Source organism: Homo sapiens, chromosome 3 (assembly GCF_000001405.40).
Source record: "Homo sapiens chromosome 3, GRCh38.p14 Primary Assembly".
In the NCBI taxonomy this organism is placed as follows: Eukaryota; Metazoa; Chordata; class Mammalia; order Primates; family Hominidae; genus Homo; species Homo sapiens.
In genome coordinates this window covers 22,372,764-22,394,854 of record NC_000003.12, presented here as the reverse complement: position 1 = coordinate 22,394,854, position 22,091 = coordinate 22,372,764, and the positions used below count along the sequence as shown (strand labels likewise).

Genomic DNA, 22,091 nt, shown 5'->3' with positions numbered 1-22,091 from the left:
TTAGAGTTTGATTTTAGAGAAGGGTGACAAGGAACATACATTTTAGAGGATCACACTGGCATTGATATAGATATAGAAATAGTGTGTACTCTAGTAAGCTAGAGAGGCCTACCCTGTCTAAAGAGGCCCATAATAATGATTTTTAAGTAAAAATTGTTTATATGAATGTTGTACTTCAGGAGAGCAAACATGATATTAAATAGATGTTTACATCATTTTTAAGATGGATCCCTTTTTGTAAGAGTTTTAAAAATCCAATTAAACAGAGTTTACCCATTAAAATATTAATTATCTTGACCATATCATTGTACTTTTTAGTGATGAACCTAGTATTTATTTTTCAGTAATACTTTAGGGAAGTAGTGTGATTATTTCTTATAATTGCAGCTTGAATTGTTGAGTTTTGCTTTAAGCTATTAATAAGCCAGAATAGGTGAACAATTATAATTTCCTTTTTCAAAGAGTATTTGAATGTTTGTAGTAAATTCTCAGGAGATCTCATTCAGGTAGAATTCTGGACTCTGACCTCATCAGTCTACATTATTTTAGTTACTTTGGGATCAAAAGTGAAGTTCTGACAGTCTCCAAATAGGGAGTAACATTTTACTTTATGTTATTTATAAATTTTCATACTGAATTTAATCTGTAGGCTCATTGGTAAGAGATTATACTTCCAAGCAAAGCACACCCTGAAAATTTGCTGTCTTCTTAAGTAGAAAATATCGGACTACTGATGCTAGCATTAAAAGAAAACTGCGCACAGATAACACCAGGACTTTTGGTTTCAGGAAGACTTGTTTGCCTGACTTATTTGTTTTATTTTAAAAAATGTTCCAGCATAGAGAGAACAAAATCTGAAGTCCATTCCCAGGAGCCATCCGTATAACATTGGTCGCTGTTAGTTTAGGAAAGATTATTTTCTGATCACAAAACATTCTGGAACAATTTTGTTCAAAGATTATATTTTGTATTCTCTAAGAATATGTCATATGATACTTGGGTCTTCATACCAAAGTACAATTTTAGATAATTTTGGATATTTCAGTTCTAAGAAAATGTCTTCTGAACTGAATAGACTATTGCTGCAAATGTTTAAATATTTATTTGTTATCTATATTATCACCTACCAGAATATAACATCTACCACATAATATGTAAAAGTAAAACAAGAAACTATATGTGAAAAAATGCGTAACTTTTTAAGTAGGCATATAGTTATCACTCCCTTAACTCTGCCCAAGATCTGTGTACTCCTAGCATGGAAATAAACACCTACACATCCTAGAAATATTTCCTATAGAGCACATCAATTTTATCTATATAAAATATATGCTTAATTTGCTAAAGGAATAATATGCCTCACAAAGGGTGTTCATGTATAAAATGCTTTCTTTTCTAGTTAGTAAAACATGATTTAAAATAATATATTTGCTTCTCAATGGTAAATTTTTAAATTAATCTGAATCATTGTAAATTTTTTTTTATGTTGATATTTGAATGATTTGCTCATTTATCTGATAAATGTACCAGAGCATTTTAGGATGGACACACTGGTTTGCAAATGTACTTATTTTCTTATATCTCCACCTGGGATTTTGTTTGTTAAAAATGCTAAAAAGTTCACTTCCCAAATAGAAGTTTATGGGGGAATATGTATGTGTGTCAAGGTTTTAATAATTATGTTGATTATTGATTGGCTGTTGAATCAACTGTTCCAATTTGAAAAATTTTGAAGATAAGAAGATTAATTTTTACAAATAAGATAATATGCAGGCAGGCAGAACCTGATTGGAGATAAAGGTCAGTAGCCATCTGTTCCTCAGTCTTATTTAGAAGAGCAGAAGGTGTGGTATGTCATGCCCAAGCTGTTTTCAAATGCATGATAACAAAAAATGTAACATCATTTGGAAGGTGAATTTTTTAAAATTTCACCTTCAAGCAAATTTCTTCCTCAGATAAACAAAATAAATATTTAGTTTCTGCTTAAATTTTTTTCTGCAGAATGAAAAGATATGCAGCTCCCTAAGCTAAATGAATGTACTCTAGAATTAGTCTTGTGAAACAAAGTATAGCAAAGGCAATTATTGGAAGATAGAGGTATAAACTCTGTTCAGGAAGCATTATGCGTATTTGCCACTGATTGGCCAGTTTTTTCACACTGAAACTTTGTGTACCTGTTCATTAAATGACTTAAGCATGCCTTGCTTAATATTATTATTGCTTACTAACTCTGGGTATACGTGTTTCTTTCTGGAATTTTTTGTGAGAACAGAACTTTTGAGCTCTGATGTCAGCAGGCAAGGCAAACTTACTGAAGGTTCTAGGTGGATGAGAGCCCTACAGCAATAAAACGTGTAAACATGACAATTCTTTTTAGCTGCATCAACTCTTTTTGGTATTCCCACAACCCATCTCAATTTTCTCTTTTTATAACAACTCAGTAAGGGGTTTTACCAGAGCAGACAAGCATGAAATTAATTTTCCATAGAAGTTTACTGATGCTAGGAAACTTGCTGGTCAGTAATATTGGTATAAGTCCTGATGCTGGCATGGAGGTTTCATTTTTTTCCTTTTTAATTGCAGTGAATTTTATCAGCATAAATTTTATAATGTAGATACTATGCAAAAGCTTTAAAGGAAGAAATGCAGGGTTTTTCATATTTAATCTCTTAATATTTGGTAAGATTTGTAGTAGCATAATACTCTGGTTTTTCTCGTTAATAGCAAGACAACTTACTGATTGGTCTTGGCACTTGCTGTACCTGACATACAGAATGTTAGAAGAAAGAAGATACCCCAAGGTTCCACTTGGTAACTAAAGGGCTGAGATGCCTCTTATGAATTAGCATTGATAAGACTCTTCTTTAGAACTAGCAAAGCCTGCGTATGTTAACTCTAACTTGGATAATTTTTTCTCCATGTTGTTAAGCCTGAAACACCTCCTGTATCTTGGCAACCTCTCTTAGATGTAATTGTTGCTTCAAAGCCTTTAGGAATTATATACTACCTGTTTTAAGGATATAGGTTCTTGATTAATGGGAGCAATCATTTCTAATTTTATATATCTAAGAATTTCCAGGTCTTAGCTCTCTTTATTCCAACAGAAACTTGTAAAATATTATACAACCTAGGGTCATGTGCTGAGAGAAGTTTACTCTTCATCAGACCTGGCCTGAATAGAAGCTTCTAGAGTCTGGTCATTTGGACTGCTCTTGCACTGCCCTGCTCTTTAGGTGACCTTCTTTATACAGTCACTGCCAAATGCTAACTTGCTTGTCTTGAAAGGCTCAGCTTGGCTCTCCCCTTTGTACTGGGGAGGTGAGCTACTGCTGAGTTTCTCACATCTTCCTGATAACATTTAAGAGAGAAAAAAAATTCTTCCCTTAGCTTCTGAGACTAGTGCATGTTTTGTACATGGTGTTCCTGAGCATCTTCTGGAGAGTGAAGATTTTGCAAATGTAGCAAATCTCTTGCTTGTCTACTCCCCCAGAGTGGTAAATGAGGTGTATTATTTGATTTTTCGCTATTTAAATTTATTTGGGAGCTAAGAGGCTGAATGTGCAAGAATAGAAAGGTAAACCCTCTGAAAGGGTATAACAAGTGGAGAGTGAGGTGAGAGGAGGATACTTCCTGACATCCAACCTACTGGTCCTGCCCTACCAGTTGGGACAGATTTGTACCTTTTTAGAAACATTTATAGAACACTTATTAGATGCAAGGCGAAGTACTAAGTTGCTGCTAAGCAAGACAAGAACAACAAAAGGCTGTGGTCTCTATCCCCAAGGCTGTGTCTATATGTATGCTCATAGATACACACATAAAAAAGCTCAGAAGCATTTAAACTAAAAATACGAGACAAGGTGAAGTTATAATACCAGCTAGCCATATATTGAATGCTGTAAATGCTCATTAAATGCTGACAAGTATCCCATGAGGCAGCTGCTTTTATTTTCAGGATTTTATGGAGTATGAAACTGAAGTCCAGGAAGGTTCAGAAACTTGCCTAAGGCTGTAGAACTCTTTAGCAGTAAAGCTGGACCAAGGCAAACCTGGCTCAGCATCAGTGTGCCAAACTGTTAGCCAAAACTTCCCCTCCTCATCGTGTGGTGCAGAACAGCAGCCCTTATGTGTTCTTAAAGAAGTCAGCCTTCAAGGAGCAGCACTGTGCGTTTTACCTTTTTATGTCCCCTTGTGCTAGCAAAGTGAAAGTGTATATGTGTGGATGAGAATGACACAGGTGCTGAAGGGAAGTTAGCTTCTCTCCCCCCCTTTTCTCATTTTGTGATGGGGGAAAAGTAGTAGATAGGAAGAACATAGACGAATTAGACTGGCTGTCATCCTAGCTTTGTCATTAATCAGGTGTATGACTTTAAATAATTCACTTGGCTTCTATGGATAACCAGTTTCCTTAATTGCTAAAGAGGTTGAACCAGAAGTTCCCTTCCAGCTTTAGAATTCTAAGGTCGATGATGTCACTGTAGAGACAGATTTATCATCTGCAGACCTTTCCACTTTTGTGCACATAAATAGTTGTTTATTTGAAGTCCCTAGTTACAGCCTGTCTATTTTGCATAACTGATAGCAGAGAGTTTTTATTCTACAAGAAACACTTTATTTCTGATTGCTGTACATCAAACTGATGGGTCTGCCATAATTTCTCGGCTGTCAAACTGAATGTCGAATTAGGACTTTGTGTGTCCTTGAAGGGCTTTGTCTACTTTTCCCTTATTTTACACAGAAAATAGAGAACACGTGGTTCTTGCTCAAGTGTCTAGGGCACTTGATCGTGGTTGGCATTTAAGCATTGACTATTAAACTGCATTATAAACTGGCAAATTTATTTTTAAAATACATTTTATTGAAATTTCACAGAGATAACTTACAAATTCAGTTCACCTTCTGTCCGTTTGATGCCAAAAAGCACAATGATCCAACCACTATATTTTTATGAATTCACATTGATATTCATTTCTAAATAACACTATCTATAATATTTACAGTGCTTATTTTAGGGACATGAATCTAAACATCTATAATTCTTGTTGGACATCATGAGGATAAACTTCCTCTTGCAGAAATATGTTTTTTCTTTCAACATATTTATTTTCAGAAACATTCTAATTTGATAGTGAAATACATGGTCCTAATGAGGATGTCGGTGGCATCATTGTTAAAAGAGAGACATCATTAGCATCAAACACTGTTGAATTTATTTAAAAGATTTGGGTACACATAGTGGTGATGGCTACATAGCAGTGTAAATGGATATAATGCCACTGAACTGTACACTTACAAATAATTACAATGATAACTATTGTGTATAGTTTACCACAATAAGCAACAACAACAAGGAGACTGTAGTTGGAATGTTGTTGAGCCAGCATCCGTGATCTCTAAGTTCAACCTGTTGTTCTTGCTTCATGAATTTCCATATGCCATTGCATCTTGTGAGGGAGTTAGTTTACCTCTTACATTTTGGTACTGCCAATTGTCTATTCTTCCCCATTCTTTTTAGTAAATGTAACAATTTCATTATCCTTTAATTTTACCCAGATTCTAAGATTTAGTCCAGGAGTTGGAAATAAAGATGTGTTCTTTTCTGAAAGTGTTCACAGCAGTCAGCAGTCAGTTTGGAGCATTTTTACTCCAAAGTAAGTACGCAGAAATGGTAAGAGACTATCACCTTCATGGGCAATTTTCCCAAAAGAAAATTATTGAGAGGTCAGGTTAGCTCACCAGAACATAATACTCTAATTGTTTGAATTGAATTTGGAAAGAGTAATGATCTAAGTGAAAGCTGTGAAAACAAAAACATAGGAATATTAGCATTGTCCCAAAATAACTAGTGGAGAATGAGGTATACAACCGCATTCCACTCACGTATAAATGAAGAATTGGCATTTAATTTAAGTGTTTAGAATTGTGGGATTGTATTAAATCCAGGAGATGGTTGCAAGTATAACGAGTATGACTCCTCAAGAATATTACCTGGGCTCACAAGTCAGCTCCATAACCTTGAGCAAAGTATTACTTCTCTATGTCTCCATTTCTTCAAAAGGGAATAATGGTAATCCTTAGTTCATAGTTGGGTTGTAATAGAAAATGAGATAATACATGTATAATACTTGATACAATGTCAGGGTAGAGTAAACATGTGCCAAGTATTAGTAATTATCATCCATAACACGCAGTACTTCATTGTATTAAATTACACAATCTTAGACTTGGAAGGGATCCATTGCAGGAATTCTCTCCACTACATTTTTAGAAATGGTTATACAGCAATAAGGTGCACTCTACTCCATAAGTATCCTATGTCCTTCTGAATAGGCTTAATCATTGTTGAGCCAACATCTGTGATCTCTAAGTTACACCTATTGTCTCTGCTTCATAGAACTTCATATAACATCTGAGCTTTCTTCGACATGGCTGCCTTTCAAATGCATTGTATAAAGACAGATATCTCATTTTCCATTTGTTTTCTCACGTCAAGGATAAATATTCTAAATTGTTGGGTTTATGTTGTAATCCTCTTTATTTGAAGACACTGTTAACTGGCTAACCAAATACGCATTCTCAACGCCCTTCTCCCTTACCTTCCTCCAAAATACAGTTTGAAAAGTTTATTCATTCACATGGCAGCTAATGGTGGCCACAAGACTCAATTCTAGCCAGTGATGTGTATAGAGAATTCAGACTGGAGACTTTTCTTTCTTTCTTTTTAAATAGAGATGGTGTCTCACTATGTTGCCCAGGCCGGTCTCAAACACCTGGGCTTAAGTGATCCTCCCGGCTTGTCCTCCCAAAGACTGGAGACTTTCTGGGAAAGCATCTAGTTTCCCAGTAAAAGTGACAGTTCCAAATGGCTTTGTCCCTTCTCCTTTCTTCCTCTCTCTCTTTTTTTTTTTTTTTTTGGCTTTCTTTTTGTTTATTATTATACTTTAAGTTTTAGGGTACATGCGCACAACGTGCAGGTTTGTTACATATGTATACGTGTGCCGTGTTGGTGTGCTGCACCCATTAACTCGTCATTTAACATTAGGTATATCTCCTAATGCTATCCCTCCCCGCTCCCCCCACCCCACAACAGTCCCCAGTGTGTGATGTTCCCCTTCCTGTGTCCATGTGTTCTCATTGTTCAATTCCCACCTATGAGTGAGAACATGCGGTGTTTGGTTTTTTGTCCTTGCGATAGTTTGCTGAGAATGATGGTTTCCAGCTTCAAGTGAGAACATGATCATCGGGGCTGTAGCAACAGCACTTAAGATGATGAATTTGAGGGCAACACTAGCAAGCCAAGGCCCCAGGGTTGGAATCATAGAGAGCCTAGCACTTATTAACCATTTTCAGCAGCTCAGCTAGTATTTATAACCAATGTTCTTCATGTTTTTTGTAGATTAGATAGTAACTGTTTATATCATTGAAACCAGTGATTCTCCAACTTTAGCATGCATCAGAATTATGTGCGGGGATTTTTAAAACTCAGATTGCTGGGTCGCTACTCTAGTTCCTGATTCTGTAGACGTGGAAAGGGGATTGGGAATTTGTATTTCTAACAAATTCCCAGGTGATGCTGATACTTATGTAGTGGTGGTGGTGGTGGTGGTGGTAGTTATTGGAGGGTACTTTGAGAACTACTGTTTTAAACCATTGCTAATCTGATTGTTGTTTCTTTACAGTTTATGACCTTCCTTAATTAATATAAGCAAAATTCACTTTATATGATTTTGAATAGTTCTCTTGAAGTGTTTTATCAATATTCAAAAGGGATTTTTAAAACTCTTCTTCACACTAGAGAGCTCCTTTATCAGACCTTTATACTTTTATACCAGCTAGCATAGTTATCTGAGTTGCACTTTAGCAAATCAGTTATCAGTCCATGGCATATTTAATGAGATTTTATTATGTTCAGGACATTGCGAGGATTCAAGGAAAGGTGAGATATTGACACTGCTTCCAGGGAGTTTACATAGAGTTGATACACAAAGACACAATTTCCATCTGTATCAAAAATTATGATTTCCAAAGAGCTTTCAAGTATATTAGCATATTTAATACTCAAGATAATGTGAAGTAGAGGAGGAATATTGTCACACTCATTTAATAGAAAAATTGATGTCCAGGCCAGATGTGGTGGCTCCCACCACTTTGGGAGGCCGAGGCCGGCAGATCATTTGAGGTCAGGAGTTCGAGACCAGCCTGACCAACATGGTGAAACTCCATCTCTACTAAAAATACAAAAAAAATTAGCCAGGTGTGGTGCCATATGCCTGCAGTCCTGGCTACTCGGGAGTCTGAGGCAGAAAAATTGCTCAAACTGGGAAGGTGGAGGCTGCAGTGAGCCGAGATTGCGCCACTGCACTCCAGCCTGAGTGACAGGGACAGACTTCATCTAAAAAAGAGAGATAGAGAGAGAAAGGGAAGGGGAGGGGAAGGGAGGGGAGAGGAGAGGAGAGGAGAGGGTAGAAAAATTGAGGTCTAATTAATTAAATGATGAATGTAAAGTATGCCAAAAGTAACAGATAACAAAATCAACTCTAGGAATTTTAACACCTAATTCAAGCACAAGTACATTAGACAAATACTTTTATTATCTTTTGCCACTTCTGTCTCTTCTACTTTCAGGACAATATAGGAATATAATTAGCTTTGTTTTTTTTAATGCTTTGTGGTCATAAATCGCCTCTCATCCAGAGTGAAAGACAACTGGCTGTTTGAAAATTCTCTCAAAGAAGCTCTTTTTAAATGCAACATTCAACCGGTGAGAGATGTTCAGAGCTGCTGTGTACAACTGCACCAAGTTGGCCAGCTTAGATGACAAGTGGAAACTGCAATTCTAGCCATGTGCCCTGTATGCAACTACATTTCTTCAGAGGAAGGGGAAGACTATTTATCAGCTCCAGGACAGAGGGTGTCAGCACCTACTAACTTCTTCCACAGTGCCATGAAAATATCAAAACTTTCCCCTTGAGTTGGGTACCATTTTGGAAGAAATACGGATTAGGGAGATATTTTGAGAGGGAAAACAACATTAAAGGAAATTTGAAATTTGAGTTAACTGCTTATGTACTCAAAAGAGTTTACTTGCAACTAGAGGTAACTAAGTTGCTTTGATTTTAAATTTGAGTCTTCCATACTCTTCTCTTCACTCTCCCTTCCTCTACCTTCCATTAGCAAATATAGGGGCTCAGGAGGAAACTACTGGATTTTAGAGAAGTAGATGAGCTCCTTTTTGTTTGTTTCTTTGTTTTATATGTTTTAATTGCTAGGTATACATTTCTACCACACCACATATGTAACATTTGTCATCTATTTCAAAGGGTAAGAATTAATTCCAATAATAGGAATAGATAGATGATACTATGCACCACATACAGAATAAAGTACAAGTTACGTTTCTTGCCCTGGAATTACTTGCAGTCTAAAATAGAGAAAAAAAATGTTGATATAAATGTTTCTGAATGTAAGTAAAGAAATTCTCAGTTCATTACACAGTTAGTGAATATTGTTCATTTGCACAATTAAATTATATGCACTTTTCGTTAATTATCTTTCTCAATTTTAGACATTTTAAAATTCATGAACTATAACAATAAATAGTATAAAACCTTTCTAGTTTTAAAGAATTTTAGTTAGTATACTATAAATAAGTGTAAATTGAAAGCCATGCGGAGAAAGAGATTTAAATAGAAAAATTGCCTTTTTTTGTATGTTATTTTACATGAAAAATCAAAATGTAAACTTAATTTCTGTTCAGGACTGGGATTCTAAGTGAAATAGGCTATTACCTATATAGTGTAATTTGTATAGTAATTTTTTTATTTTTCTGATGATTGAAATTCAACCATTAGTGATAGATTCTTTAGGTGTAAGCATTGTAGTCTTTCTGTAGGACTTTTAAAATGCAAATGAATGTGGAAGACTACAACCAAATGAAGTTCTGTACAGTTTAGCATGGTTGCAAATATCAGAAGGATTCATTTCTCAGCAGAGCGACATGAATGTTTTTAGGTGTTTGGAGTAAAGTGTAAAAAGAAAGACATTAAAACTTGGAAGAACGGCAAATTTTCAGGAAAGTCAAGTGGCGAGACGTGCCAAAAACCAGTATCCCTTACTTTACAATTATGGCTACAGCTGTGCCTGTTTTATTATTCTATACATGTGTAAGTTGCTAACTGCTATAATAACCACGCAATCTCAAGAGCTTAACAATAAGAGAGCACATTTCAGCAAAATGTTTGGCATGTGGTGGCTCTGTTAGACCCTGGGTCCTTGAAGTCCTCAGTTGTTCCCTCCTTTATGCTTATTTTTGTGGGTACATATATTTATGGGGTATATGAGATGTTTGATATAGACATGCAATGTAAAATAAGCATATCATGGAGAATGGGGTATTGATCCCCTCAAGCATTTATCCTTTGAGTTATAAACAATCCAATTACACTATTTAAAAATGTACAATTATTGTTGACTACAGTCATCTGTTGTGCTATCAAATCATAGATCTTACTCATTCTAACAACTTTTTGTACCCATCAACCATCCCCACCTCCCTCCCATCCCCCCACTGCCCTTCCCAGACTCCAGTAACCATCCTTCTACTCTCTATGTTCATGAGTTCAATTGTTTTGATTTTTAGATCCCACAAATCAGTGAGAACATGCGTTGTTTGTCTTAATGTGCCTGGCTTATTACACTTAACATAATGATCTCCAGTTCCATCATGTTTTTGCAAATAACTGGAATCTCCTTTTATGGCTGAATAGTATTCTATTGTACCACATTTTCTTTATTCATTCAACTGTTGATGGACACTTAGGTTGTTTCCAAATCTTAACTATTGTAAACAGTACTGCAACGAACGTAGGAGTGCGGATATCTCTTTAATATACTGATTTCCTTTCTTCTGGGCATATATCCAGCAGTGGGAGTGCTGGATCATATGGTAGCTCAATTTTTAGTTTTGTTGAAGACCTTGAAACTATCTCCACAGTGGTTGTACTAATTTACATTCCTACCAACAGTGTATGAGAGTTCCCTTTCTCCACATCCTCTTGTGCATTTGTTATTGCCTATCTTTTGGCTATAAGCCATTTTAACAGAGGTGTGTTCCTCTGCTTTAAATCTACAAATGACAAGATGACAGAGAGGGAATGAGCAGGTGTTTGCATAAATATCCCAGGGGACTTTGGGGGCCAATGTTTTCAGTCAACATTTTTGTGGCCACAAGTAACTATAAAGCCTTTTCTAGATGCTGGGCAGCTGGTCAAAATAGTTTTTCCATGTTCCTAGGAGAGAAAGTAGATGGTTTGGTAAATAGCCAGCATTTTTTTTCTGCCATCATTAGCTTTCAGAATTATTAATAGAAGTGATCCTCTAAAGGTGAAAGTACTTAATATTTGAAATAGGCCAGACATTTGCTTGACAGTAGATATGATTTCCCAGATAGGGGCAAGACACTTAATAGTCATATACAACACTCTCAATTTGTCATCTTCTCTTAACCCCTATGTATAGTAAATCAATAAACATTGATTGGGTCCCTGTTGTACCAAATATCTATAATCATCACTGCTATTAACACCTATTGACTACATACTCTGTGTGGAACCTTGTGCTGTCTACTTTTAAAAATACAATGAAGCAGTAAGTATAGTAGGAAATTCCTTATCTGATGTGATCAGGATCAGAAGGTGAGTAAAATTTAAAGCAAAGAATATATAACTGAAGCATTTTTATGTTTAACTTGATACATATGAGTGTACATTCATTCACCAATTTCTAAATGTAGGGCAAAGATCTTCCTTGCAGTATGGGTGTTTATCATCACTTATTTTGAAAACCCATGATGCCTAATCTACCTGGAGCACACAGTATTGATTGCCTGTCTAGAAGCTACTCCCCCTCTTCTACGTTCCCAAGAGCTTCTTTTTTTTTTTTAATAAAAAAATTGTATTTACTTAGAAGCATTCAGAATGTCAACAAAACAGCTGCAACTTTTTTTTTTTGCAATTACAGAGTGGTATTCAGTTAACAGAACAACAATTATTTCGTATAAGCTGCATCAGAGACAACTGAAGATGAAAAAACTACCATCCCCATATATAACTAATTTGTGCTGTGCACCAACAAGAACCTGCTTTAAATTTCCATGCCAATTTACAACCCCCATACTGTACCAGGCAAAGTTAGTGGCTATTGAAAATACCACCAGGACAGGGCTATCTAAAGACACATTCGGTAGTGTGTTAACTATACAAAAAAAGACACTGTACAGTTTAAAAACAAATCTTACACCGCCTTACATTTCAATTTTTTTCTTTAAAAAGAGTGAATTGTGTACAGGGGGGTTAAATGCTTTATAGACAAGAAAAAAAACTGCGCTACAACCAACTTATTCATCATCATCATCTTCTTCTTCATCTTCTTCATCTTCCTCCTCCTCCTCATCCTCTTCATCTTCCTCATCTTCCTCCTCTTCCTTCTTTTTCTTGCTTTTTTCAGCCTTGACAACTCCCTTTTTTGCTGCATCAGGCTTTCCTTTAGCTCGATATGCAGCAATATCCTTTTCGTATTTTTCCTTCAGCTTCGCAGCCTTCTTTTCATAAGGCTGCTTGTCATCTGCAGCAGTGTTATTCCACATCTCTCCCAGTTTCTTCGCAACATCACCAATGGACAGGCCAGGATGTTCTCCTTTGATTTTTGGGCGATACTCAGAGCAGAAGAGGAAGAAGGCCGAAGGAAGCCTCTTGGGTGCATTGGGATCCTTGAACTTCTTTTTTGTCTCCCCTTTGGGAGGGATATAGGTTTTCATTTCTCTTTCATAACGGGCCTTGTCCGCCTTTGCCATATCTTCAAATTTTCCTTTCTCTTTAGCAGACATGGTCTTCCACCTCTCTGAGCACTTCTTAGAAAACTCTGAGAAGTTGACTGAAGCATCTGGGTGCTTCTTCTTATGCTCCTCCCGACAAGTTTGCACAAAAAATGCATATGATGACATTTTGCCTCTCGGCTTCTTAGGATCTCCTTTGCCCATGTTTAGTTATTTTTCCTCAGCGAGGCACAGAGTCGCCCAGTGCCCGTCCGGCTCTCACTTGCCCCGGCGCTGTCTCTATGGAGCTCAATGTACTGCCAAGAGCTTCTTTTACACTGGTGCATTTCCCTTTCCCAAGTGAATTGGGTGATTCTCTGGCTTACCAATGAATGGCGTTAGGCGATGATCTGTTTCTGGCCAATGAGACACAAAAGAAATCTGGGGAAATTCTTTGAAAGATGTCTTTGCTGCTAAAAAGCAATGTAGGGGTGTGGGAGACAGTATGCCAGAGTTCCCTTTCTGTTGTTGACTATTGATTTATCAGGGTGGGGTTCCTTATTCTGCTGCAGTGATTTTGGCTTCATGAAGTGTTGTTGCCAATAAACTAGAAGTGGTCAGGCAGACAGGTGGAAATGCTATGGGATGACTTGATTAACCTGTTGTGTTTAACAACTCCGGAGCATTTCTACCTCAGGACTTCTGGCTCACAAGAATGGGAATTCCATTATTCCTTTAAAGCCATTTCAAGCAGAATTTCTGTTACTTCCAGCCTAAAACATCTTAATTGAAATACCACAATTCCTAGTTTGGGTTTTGTTAACCTGCTATGAGACATTAGAGATGTTTATTAAGACATTCCACATGAACAGTCCTCCTAGATTGTAATGATTTTTTTTCCAGTCTTTTACAGCTGTCTTATTGGCATCTAATTCAAAAGGAGATTTTTTTGGTTTGCTTTTCAGTAGCTCTTATTTTGGAAATTTAAAAAGCATTAAATGTAATTTTCATAGATGCAACATTGTTTTTCACACTCATATTTCATTAGTTTATGTGATTTTTAACTAAAATGCATAACTATAATAATAAGCACAACAAAATTGGCTGAATCTTAGTAAATATATGACTCAACTGGTAAGAACAGTAATTGCATGCACATGAAAAACAGTCTTTAGCCAGCTGAGAGCTTTCAGGGAAGGGGGCATCTGACAGGATAGGGGGACTGAAGGCTATGGATTAATCTATCCCATTGTTGAATGGTGGTTAGTTAAGATCTATGTGTCAAGTTGAGAAATATGCAATAGCCAGTTTTGTTTTTCAAAAATGGCTGAATATTGGCAATTTCAGATGTTTCAACTTAAACACACACACACACACACACACACACACACACACACCACGTCCTTCAGTCTCCAGGATTTTAAAATCCAATTAGGGACTAAGGTATAAGAAAAAATCTCCAGTGCAACCTAGTGTGTATGTCGGTGTCCACCCACATTCTCTCAGATTCATTTTTATTGTTTTATTGTTTTCACTTTTAACAGCCAGCATCTGTGGCTCATTTTTAAATAGCTGCCCTTAGGCTACTGGAGCCACTTTGCCCTCCTATGCAGAGAGCTAGAAGTGCCTGAGAATGCACATCCTCCTGGGAAGCCTCAAGCAATGATGAATGATGGATGTGGAAATACGAAAATCCAGCCCTCTGGTCCAGGGGCTGGAGCTGAATGGGACTAAGCTGAAGCCACCCTCTGTGGGACTTCACCCACATACTTGCTCCGCTTCCTCCTTTTTCTTTTCTTACTTCTACCACTCTCCTACTGATTTCTCCTGGAGACTTCCCTTAATCACTTGCACCTTCAACTGAAGGGTGCCCTTGGGGAATCTGTCATAGCACAACAGAAATAGTAAATGTAGACTGAGTGGTGTAGACAATATATATTAGAGAAATCAGGAGTTGAGGACTGTCACTGCCAACTGCGGTGATGAAGAAAGGCTTCCAAATATAGTAGAAACTAGATTTTATACACTTGTATCTATTCAGCAAATGATTGTAGAGTGACTACAATGTGCCAATTAGTGGTGATGGCAATGGAGGCACTTGCTAGGCCAGTAGTTCTCAAATTATGATCCCTGGACCACCAGCAAAAGCACCTGAGAATTTGCTAAACATGGAAATTCTCAGACCCCAACCCAACACTAACTTATCAAAAACTCTGGGGCCAGGGTCCAGCAGTTTGTATTTTTACCATCCTGCCAGGTGGTTCTGGTGCATATTCAAGTTTGAAACTGCTGCACAAAGATCTGATGACATATCTTATCTGCCAATTAATAATTGTGAGCTTGGAAAATTTATTTCATTTTCTGATGTTTAGTTTCCTCATATGAAAAAGGTAGGGGTGATGACATTTGCTGCTTGGGGGCCAAATAAGTATTAATTTTCTTGCCTTCATTTCTCTCCATATTGCCTTCCTTTCCTTCTATTTCTCTCCCTCCTTCTCCTCTTCCTTCTCTCCTTCTTTCCCTTTCTACCTTCCTTCTTCCCTCTCCCCTCCTTTTGTCCTTCTCTCCCTCTCTTCCTTTATCTCTCCCTCCTCCTTCCTTCCTTCTTTCCTTCCTTCCTTCCTACTTCTTTCATTCCCTCCTTCCTTCCTCCTCTCTTTCTTCCTCCCCCCCTCCTTCCTTCCTTCCTTCCTCCCTCCCTCTCTCCCTTCCTTCCTTCCTCCCTCCCTCCCTCCCTTCTTTCCTTCCTTCCTCCCTCCCTCTCTCCCTTCCTTCCTTCCTCCCTCCCTCCCTCCCTTCTTTCCTTCCTTCCTCCCTCCCTCCCTTCTTTCCTTTCTTCCTTTGTCTTTCCTCTTCCTTTCTACTTACTTGCCTGATGTTTTCAACCTGGTTATTAAAGATGGGCTGAATTTCACTAGGTGGAAAAAGAGGACTAAACTTTCTAGGCAACAGATGTCCCAGTCACAGCAGGGGGATCATTGGGCTAAAAAGAAGTCACAGTGAAAGGATAGGAGTGGCAGGTTATAATGAGGAAATGGGATTTCAGATGCTGTGTTGTAGTTTAAACTATATTGTAAAGGCAATGGTAAGGCATGGGATGTGAAGGACTGGGAGTAACTTGGCAAAATGCATGATTTGGGCAGATTTCTCTGGCATTGATCTACTCCATTTAGAAGAAGATCAAGATTTCAGCCTTAGATTTCAGTCAGTAAAGCTTATACATTAATATTGGCAATTAATCCAAATGGGATCCCGAATCTAAATCCTGGCATTCTAAATATGAAGTAGAAATGAGTCTAAGTCCTGCTGAGCACAGGAAATCAACTTGGCTGAAATTTAAGACAGAAAGTGAGTAAAGATGGCTTAGTGATACTCAACCTGATAGAATGGGAAAATCGCTAAAAGAGGAGTCAATGGGGGATATTGCTGAAGGAGACACACAGAGTTTGAGGTGACGTAACATTTGTGGGTTACTGAATTCATGCTTCTAGACATCCAGGAAAAGAGCAAAGTTTCATAAATATCCCTGTAAAGATAGATACCTGGGCAAACTGAAATGTATATAATTTACACACACACACACACACACACACACACACACATACACATATTACAAACCTCACTCTCTGCTAACTTGTATAACTACACAGCAACTGATACATTATTTTGGGAAAGATTCCTGTTTGGGTAATAAAATGAAACTATTTTGAAGCATAAATGAATTGTATTAGGTTGGTACACAAGTAATTGTGGTTTTCGCCATTGAAGGTAATTTCAAAAAAACACAATTACTTGTGGACCAATCCGATATATGTAACACATTGTATCTGTGTGTGATTTTTTTTCTTTTGGTGTCTGCAAAATGTGCTGAGTTTATTGCAGCCACAGTACTCCATAGGATTGCTTTGTGTATTTCAAGTCTTTACCCCCATCTGGGCTGGATACACTGAGTGCTAAATTCACTTCCTTGTCATTTTATTCTTCTCCTGTCAGCTTCCCATCCGTTGATCAAAAAATATCCAGAATCCCCAGAGTCACAAATAAGTTCTACATTTGGCCATTACATTGATCTTTCTTATTTAGCATATACTTAAAAACCATTTTCTATTGATCATAGTCCCCTCCTCAGTATCCAAACTCTAATTATTTTGAAATATTTTTATGTATACTTCCATTAGTTACTCCAGAGTTTGACTAATAATGGGAAGGGACATTTTAGTGTTTTTTTGTTTGTTTGTTTGTTTTTTTGTGTCATGGAAAAGTATACTAATCAATGGCCCTTTCTGATGCCCTGTGAAGTTCTGTGAGGATTTTTCCTGGTATCTTAATTGCAGTAGAATAGACACAGTGGTGTTCTGGCATCTCTCATCCAAAACAAACAGAAGGAATGTTGTATTAAAGATTTATATGGAGTAATGCTTCAAAACCAACCTGACCCATAGAAGAGCATAGCATGGTTCACTGCTGAGTCATTTGGTCAGAGACAGTCTGGAAAGATATTGTAAAGGAATCATATCCTCAAGAGAGTTACAGAGAGAAGTGGGTTGCCTCAGGATATTCCAGAAGGATATTTGCTCCAGGAAAAAAAATTATGTTAGAGAAACACTACAGAAATGATTTTCAAACTTGAGCATATATATAAATACCTGAAGGTCTTGTTAAAACATGACTGCTGAAATCCACACCCAGATTGTCTGCTTCAGTAGATCAGGGATTGAGCCAGAGAATCTGTATTTCTAATAAGTCCCCAGGTGATGCTGCTGCTGTTGATTGGTAATCATTGGCTTAGAACATCACCAGAAAGAAAGGTTAGAGTCAGGCGGGAACAAGAAACATATTTTTTTTTTGCTCCCAATTTTTTTCCAATTGTGCAGAGATTAATTTTCATAAAACACTATTTTGTTCATACTTTAAATTAGCTCAAATTGTTATTCTTCATTTTCTTCTCAATAAAACCATAAAAACAAACCCAAAAATGAAAATCTTCAGCAGTATTCCAAATCTTCCACCTATATCCCTGAAACACTGGTACCTTTGCTTGTTCTCAAAACATTTTTAAGCCTTCAATCCCTACATGTTTTGTTCATTCTGTTTGTTTTCCCTGGAATGCCATATTGTCTTCACCATCATTTTTGCCTTTCAAAGTCCAAAGCATTCTTTAAGACTCAACCTAATCCCTTCTCTTCATTAGGCTTTCTCTGATAAAGTGAAAACTTCTTACCCTGAGCTTCTTGCAACTTGTTTTTCCTCTTTTATTTTTTTTTCACAAAATCTTTCAGTGCCACCTATTATAGCTAGGGCAAAAAAGCAAATACTTTTATATTTAACTTAGTGAAGACCTTTTAATCTTCATATTCACCTTATGAGGTAGATACTATTATTATCCTCCTTTTACAGATAATTTACTTCTGTATACATCATTTACTTCTTAAGTTTCATGATATCAAACATATGATTTTAAGTACATTTGTGTTCCCCCAAAGTACCCATTACAGTGCCTTGCAAATAATAATGCTTATTAAAACAATTGCTGCATTCAATGTAGTCATCTTCTGTTTGCTATAAAATAGTAATAATAAAATATTCAAATTCTCATTCAGGTTAGTTCTTCAGGCTTCTATGTGAACGTAATTCTGATTATTAGAAAAGACTGGTTGTTGCAATGGTACAAAGACCTGGTTCCCTGTCATCAGCTCAGGATAACTCTAAAGGGCCAATGCAGCCCAGAACTCCTGTGAGATTGACAGAAGGCCAGTGTTGAAACTGTATTGTAGCTTTACCCATTCCCACATGCTCTATTCTCACATGCCTTGACCTCAATGGCTCTCCCCAGCAAATAATCCTGCACACTAATTTCCATGTCTACAGAGTCTGTTTCCTGAATAACCCAATCTAAGAAAAAAGGAGTATGGGCTAACTACGTTTATTAACTTTTTAAAAAACTTTTCCAGGGCCGGGTGCGGTGGCTCACGCCTGTAATCCCAGCACTTGGGGAGGCCGAGGCGGGTGGATCATGAGGTCAGGAGATCGAGACCATCCTGGTTAACAAGGTGAAACCCCGTCTCTACTAAAAATACAAAAAATTAGCCGGGCGCGGTGGCGGGCGCCTGTAGTCCCAGCTACTCGGGAGGCTGAGGCAGGAGAATGGCGTGAACCCGGGAAGCGGAGCTTGCAGTGAGCCGAGATTGCGCCACCGCAGTCCGCAGTCCGGCCTGGGCGACAGAGCGAGACTCCGTCTCAAAAAAATAAAATAAAATAAAAAATAAGAAGGATTCCAAAGACGTTCAGCCCATTCAAGGGAGAAAGTATATGCAAAGAGCTTGAGACAAGAAAAAATTAGCATATTAGAGAAACTGAAGATAAATATGTCACTCAGGTTTGAACAACAGGCATTTTCTCAATGTGTATTCATGTTTTCTCTTTAATCTCTCTGTGCTCACCTGACCATCTCTAGAGCAAAATTTTCCCTAACTTAGTTTCCATGACATTGAAATAATAGAACCCATGACTGTATCTTCGCCCGTCTTTTTGGTAGTTCTTTGGTGTCCCTTCTTCTTTTAATCTAATAATTAACTTATTAATTATTAAAATATTCACGAACATTTTTAGAGCCTATTATCTGCCAAGCACTCAGTCAGGTGCTGGGGCTGTAACAGTTAAGAGGATACGCATGGTCCCTGCCCTCTCAGACTGAGCAGGTTAGTGTAGAAAATATAAATTGCAATGAAAAATCAGTACATTATTTTTCATCCTTATAATGACTTTATGTGGAGGGTACTATTTTTCACATTTTACAGATGAGAATATTGAGAAACAAGGAGGTCATATAGCTCTAAGCTTTTGTCCTGAGTACTTTTGTTGCTTCCTATATTCTACCTCATAAACCTCACATTCTCCCAACAGTTGAACTCCATACACATGTCCAGAGCTCTAAAACACAAGAGCTAATACAGGCTCTAATGCAGAACCATTTCCATAGAGCAAAGCTTGAATTTCTAGATGTATAAGGATCTCCACCTGAACATCTCCCGCAGACCTTTGACTACAGCTGCCTAAAGAGAACTCATTATCTCACAACCTTTCCTAAACAAACATTAAAATAAAACTGAACAACTGTAAATTCCCTTCTTGGGTTCTCAACTCCTAAAAGTGTCACTATTTTTCTAGTTCTCCAGGGACAGAAAGTTAGAGATATCTTTAATAAATGCCTCTTCACGTAATTGCTGCACGTTGTTAGTTACATCTCAGCAATGTCTCTTTTTAAACATCCTTATATTTCATTCTCCACAGCTGCTATCACTGTTCTTACCTTCATGATCTTTTACCTAGTGCTTCCACGGCCTCCTAAATGCTTTCTACAGCTCTACTATTTTCTGGTTCTAGATCATCTTATGAACCTGTTATATCAGATTAATCTTTTTGGTACATTCCTGGTCATGGAGGTCCCCTGCTCAGCATTTCTGGAGTGAAGTACAAATTGCCCAGGCTAGCAATTAGAGCCCCACTTGACATCTTCCAAATCATTTCTTCTACCTTCCTCCATGTACTGTATGCTCTGGGTAGAAGGGTAGACTATAGACTACTCCCTTCCTTTTTATCTCTGTCAGAGAAAATCATATCTTAAGACTTCTGTCAAATGACCTCCCTTCAATGAAGTATCTCCAGACTTCACTGCCTTTTGAACTTTGCTAATGTGTTTGGTGTTCTCTTCTGGCACCATAGTCTGCCTAATACGGCACTTATTGGTATGTTGTCCAATTTCTCCTTTAAAGCAGGGGCAGGACGAGTTTTTTTTCACTCCCAAGAAAGGCCTTTACCATGGTAAATTAGGCTTAGTAAGTACTTCTTGAATTGAAATAGAAGGATGGGTGTTTACATTCAGATGAAAGCATGGAAAAAGAGAAAGGGTCAAACTAACTTATCAGTCATGCTAATTCAAATCACAACAGATCTTTTGGTGCATTGACTATATTTCTGTCTTTATTTTTTTGTTCTTGGCATTTGCTCTTCTTATCTGTGGGTTAATAAGTGATTTGGCTACTTTTTAATACACACTTGAATAGCGCTGCGTGTCTGGAAAATTCAACGATGGCCTCCTGGGAGGAACAGACTGCCCCTTAGAGGATATTACTTACATTTTCTTTCTAAATCAGGGTGTGTTTGTGGGGTGGTCACTGTGGATTGTTTTTCAGAGCTTCTCTTGAGAAAATGTAGAATGGTAAATTACCAAAATCTCTCTACCCTGTCATCAGCATTAGTATTCGTAATGATTTTATCAGGAGTAATTATTAATAACAATAATGAGAAGCTTGCCTGTAGGGTATTTTATCCTTTGGCACTGTGTTCATTAGTTATTTGGCCTCCACAGCATCCTGAAACCCCATGAAAACGGGGCTTGTTTTGTTATTTCAGACTATCTTACAAATAATGGCTCAGCCGATATTAGAAAGCAGGTTTGTTCATTTGTGTGTCGTAACTCAAAATATGGTTCTTGAATCAGCAGCCTCTGCCACACCATTAAAAATACAGAATATCAGGCCCCACTCCAGATCTACTGGATCAGAATCAGAACTGTAATAAAATCCCAAGGTTATTCCTGTGCAAAGTAAAGTTTGAGAAACACCCACTTTAAGTCCTAGAACAGAGCAACAAAAGGTATTTCATCCCTAGGGTACTGTAGTGTGTGCGTGCGTGTGATTTCATCCCTAGGGTACCGTAGTGTGTGAGTGCGTGTGCTTGTGAGAGAGAGAGGAGACAGACAGGTAAGAGGAGAGAAATCTCAGTAGGATATGGGTCCTTCCAGAGGGATGGGCATGTGGGATTTGTGGATGTGGGACTCCCCTGTATTCTTGCAGTAGCTTCACCAGATTTCGTTGCGTCTGCTGTCCAAGATTGTTGAGGTTAGCGTTATTTATAGTTAAATATGAGAGTTGAGAGTGTGGGGGAAGTTGTTGTCTGGTACTGCACCCAAACCAGGAGGATAAAGGAGGTAAGCACAAAATGACAGCCCCCTTTTCGAGCCTCACTCAAAAAGCAGCTCACTCAAGCTCATTTCCGATATCTGTAGTTTCTAGATGCATTTCGCCTCCTCGTGTTTCCACTTAACACCCACGACCCACTCACTCCATTAAAGCTAGTTCCTCGCCTCTAGTCTCCAGGTTTCTTTTTTCGTGGTCATCAGTCTCGCTCTCTCCCGGCACCCTCAGGCCGCGGGCCCCTCCCTTCGCGCGGGCTCGCACCTCTCCCCAGCCTGGTGCACCTGGGCTGACGCCGGCTCGGG

At 37.9% G+C, this 22,091-nt stretch overlaps 1 pseudogene; it reads right to left on the bottom strand.

Moving 5' to 3' along the window:
• On the bottom strand, nucleotides 11,940–13,134 carry HMGB1P5 (high mobility group box 1 pseudogene 5; annotated as a pseudogene).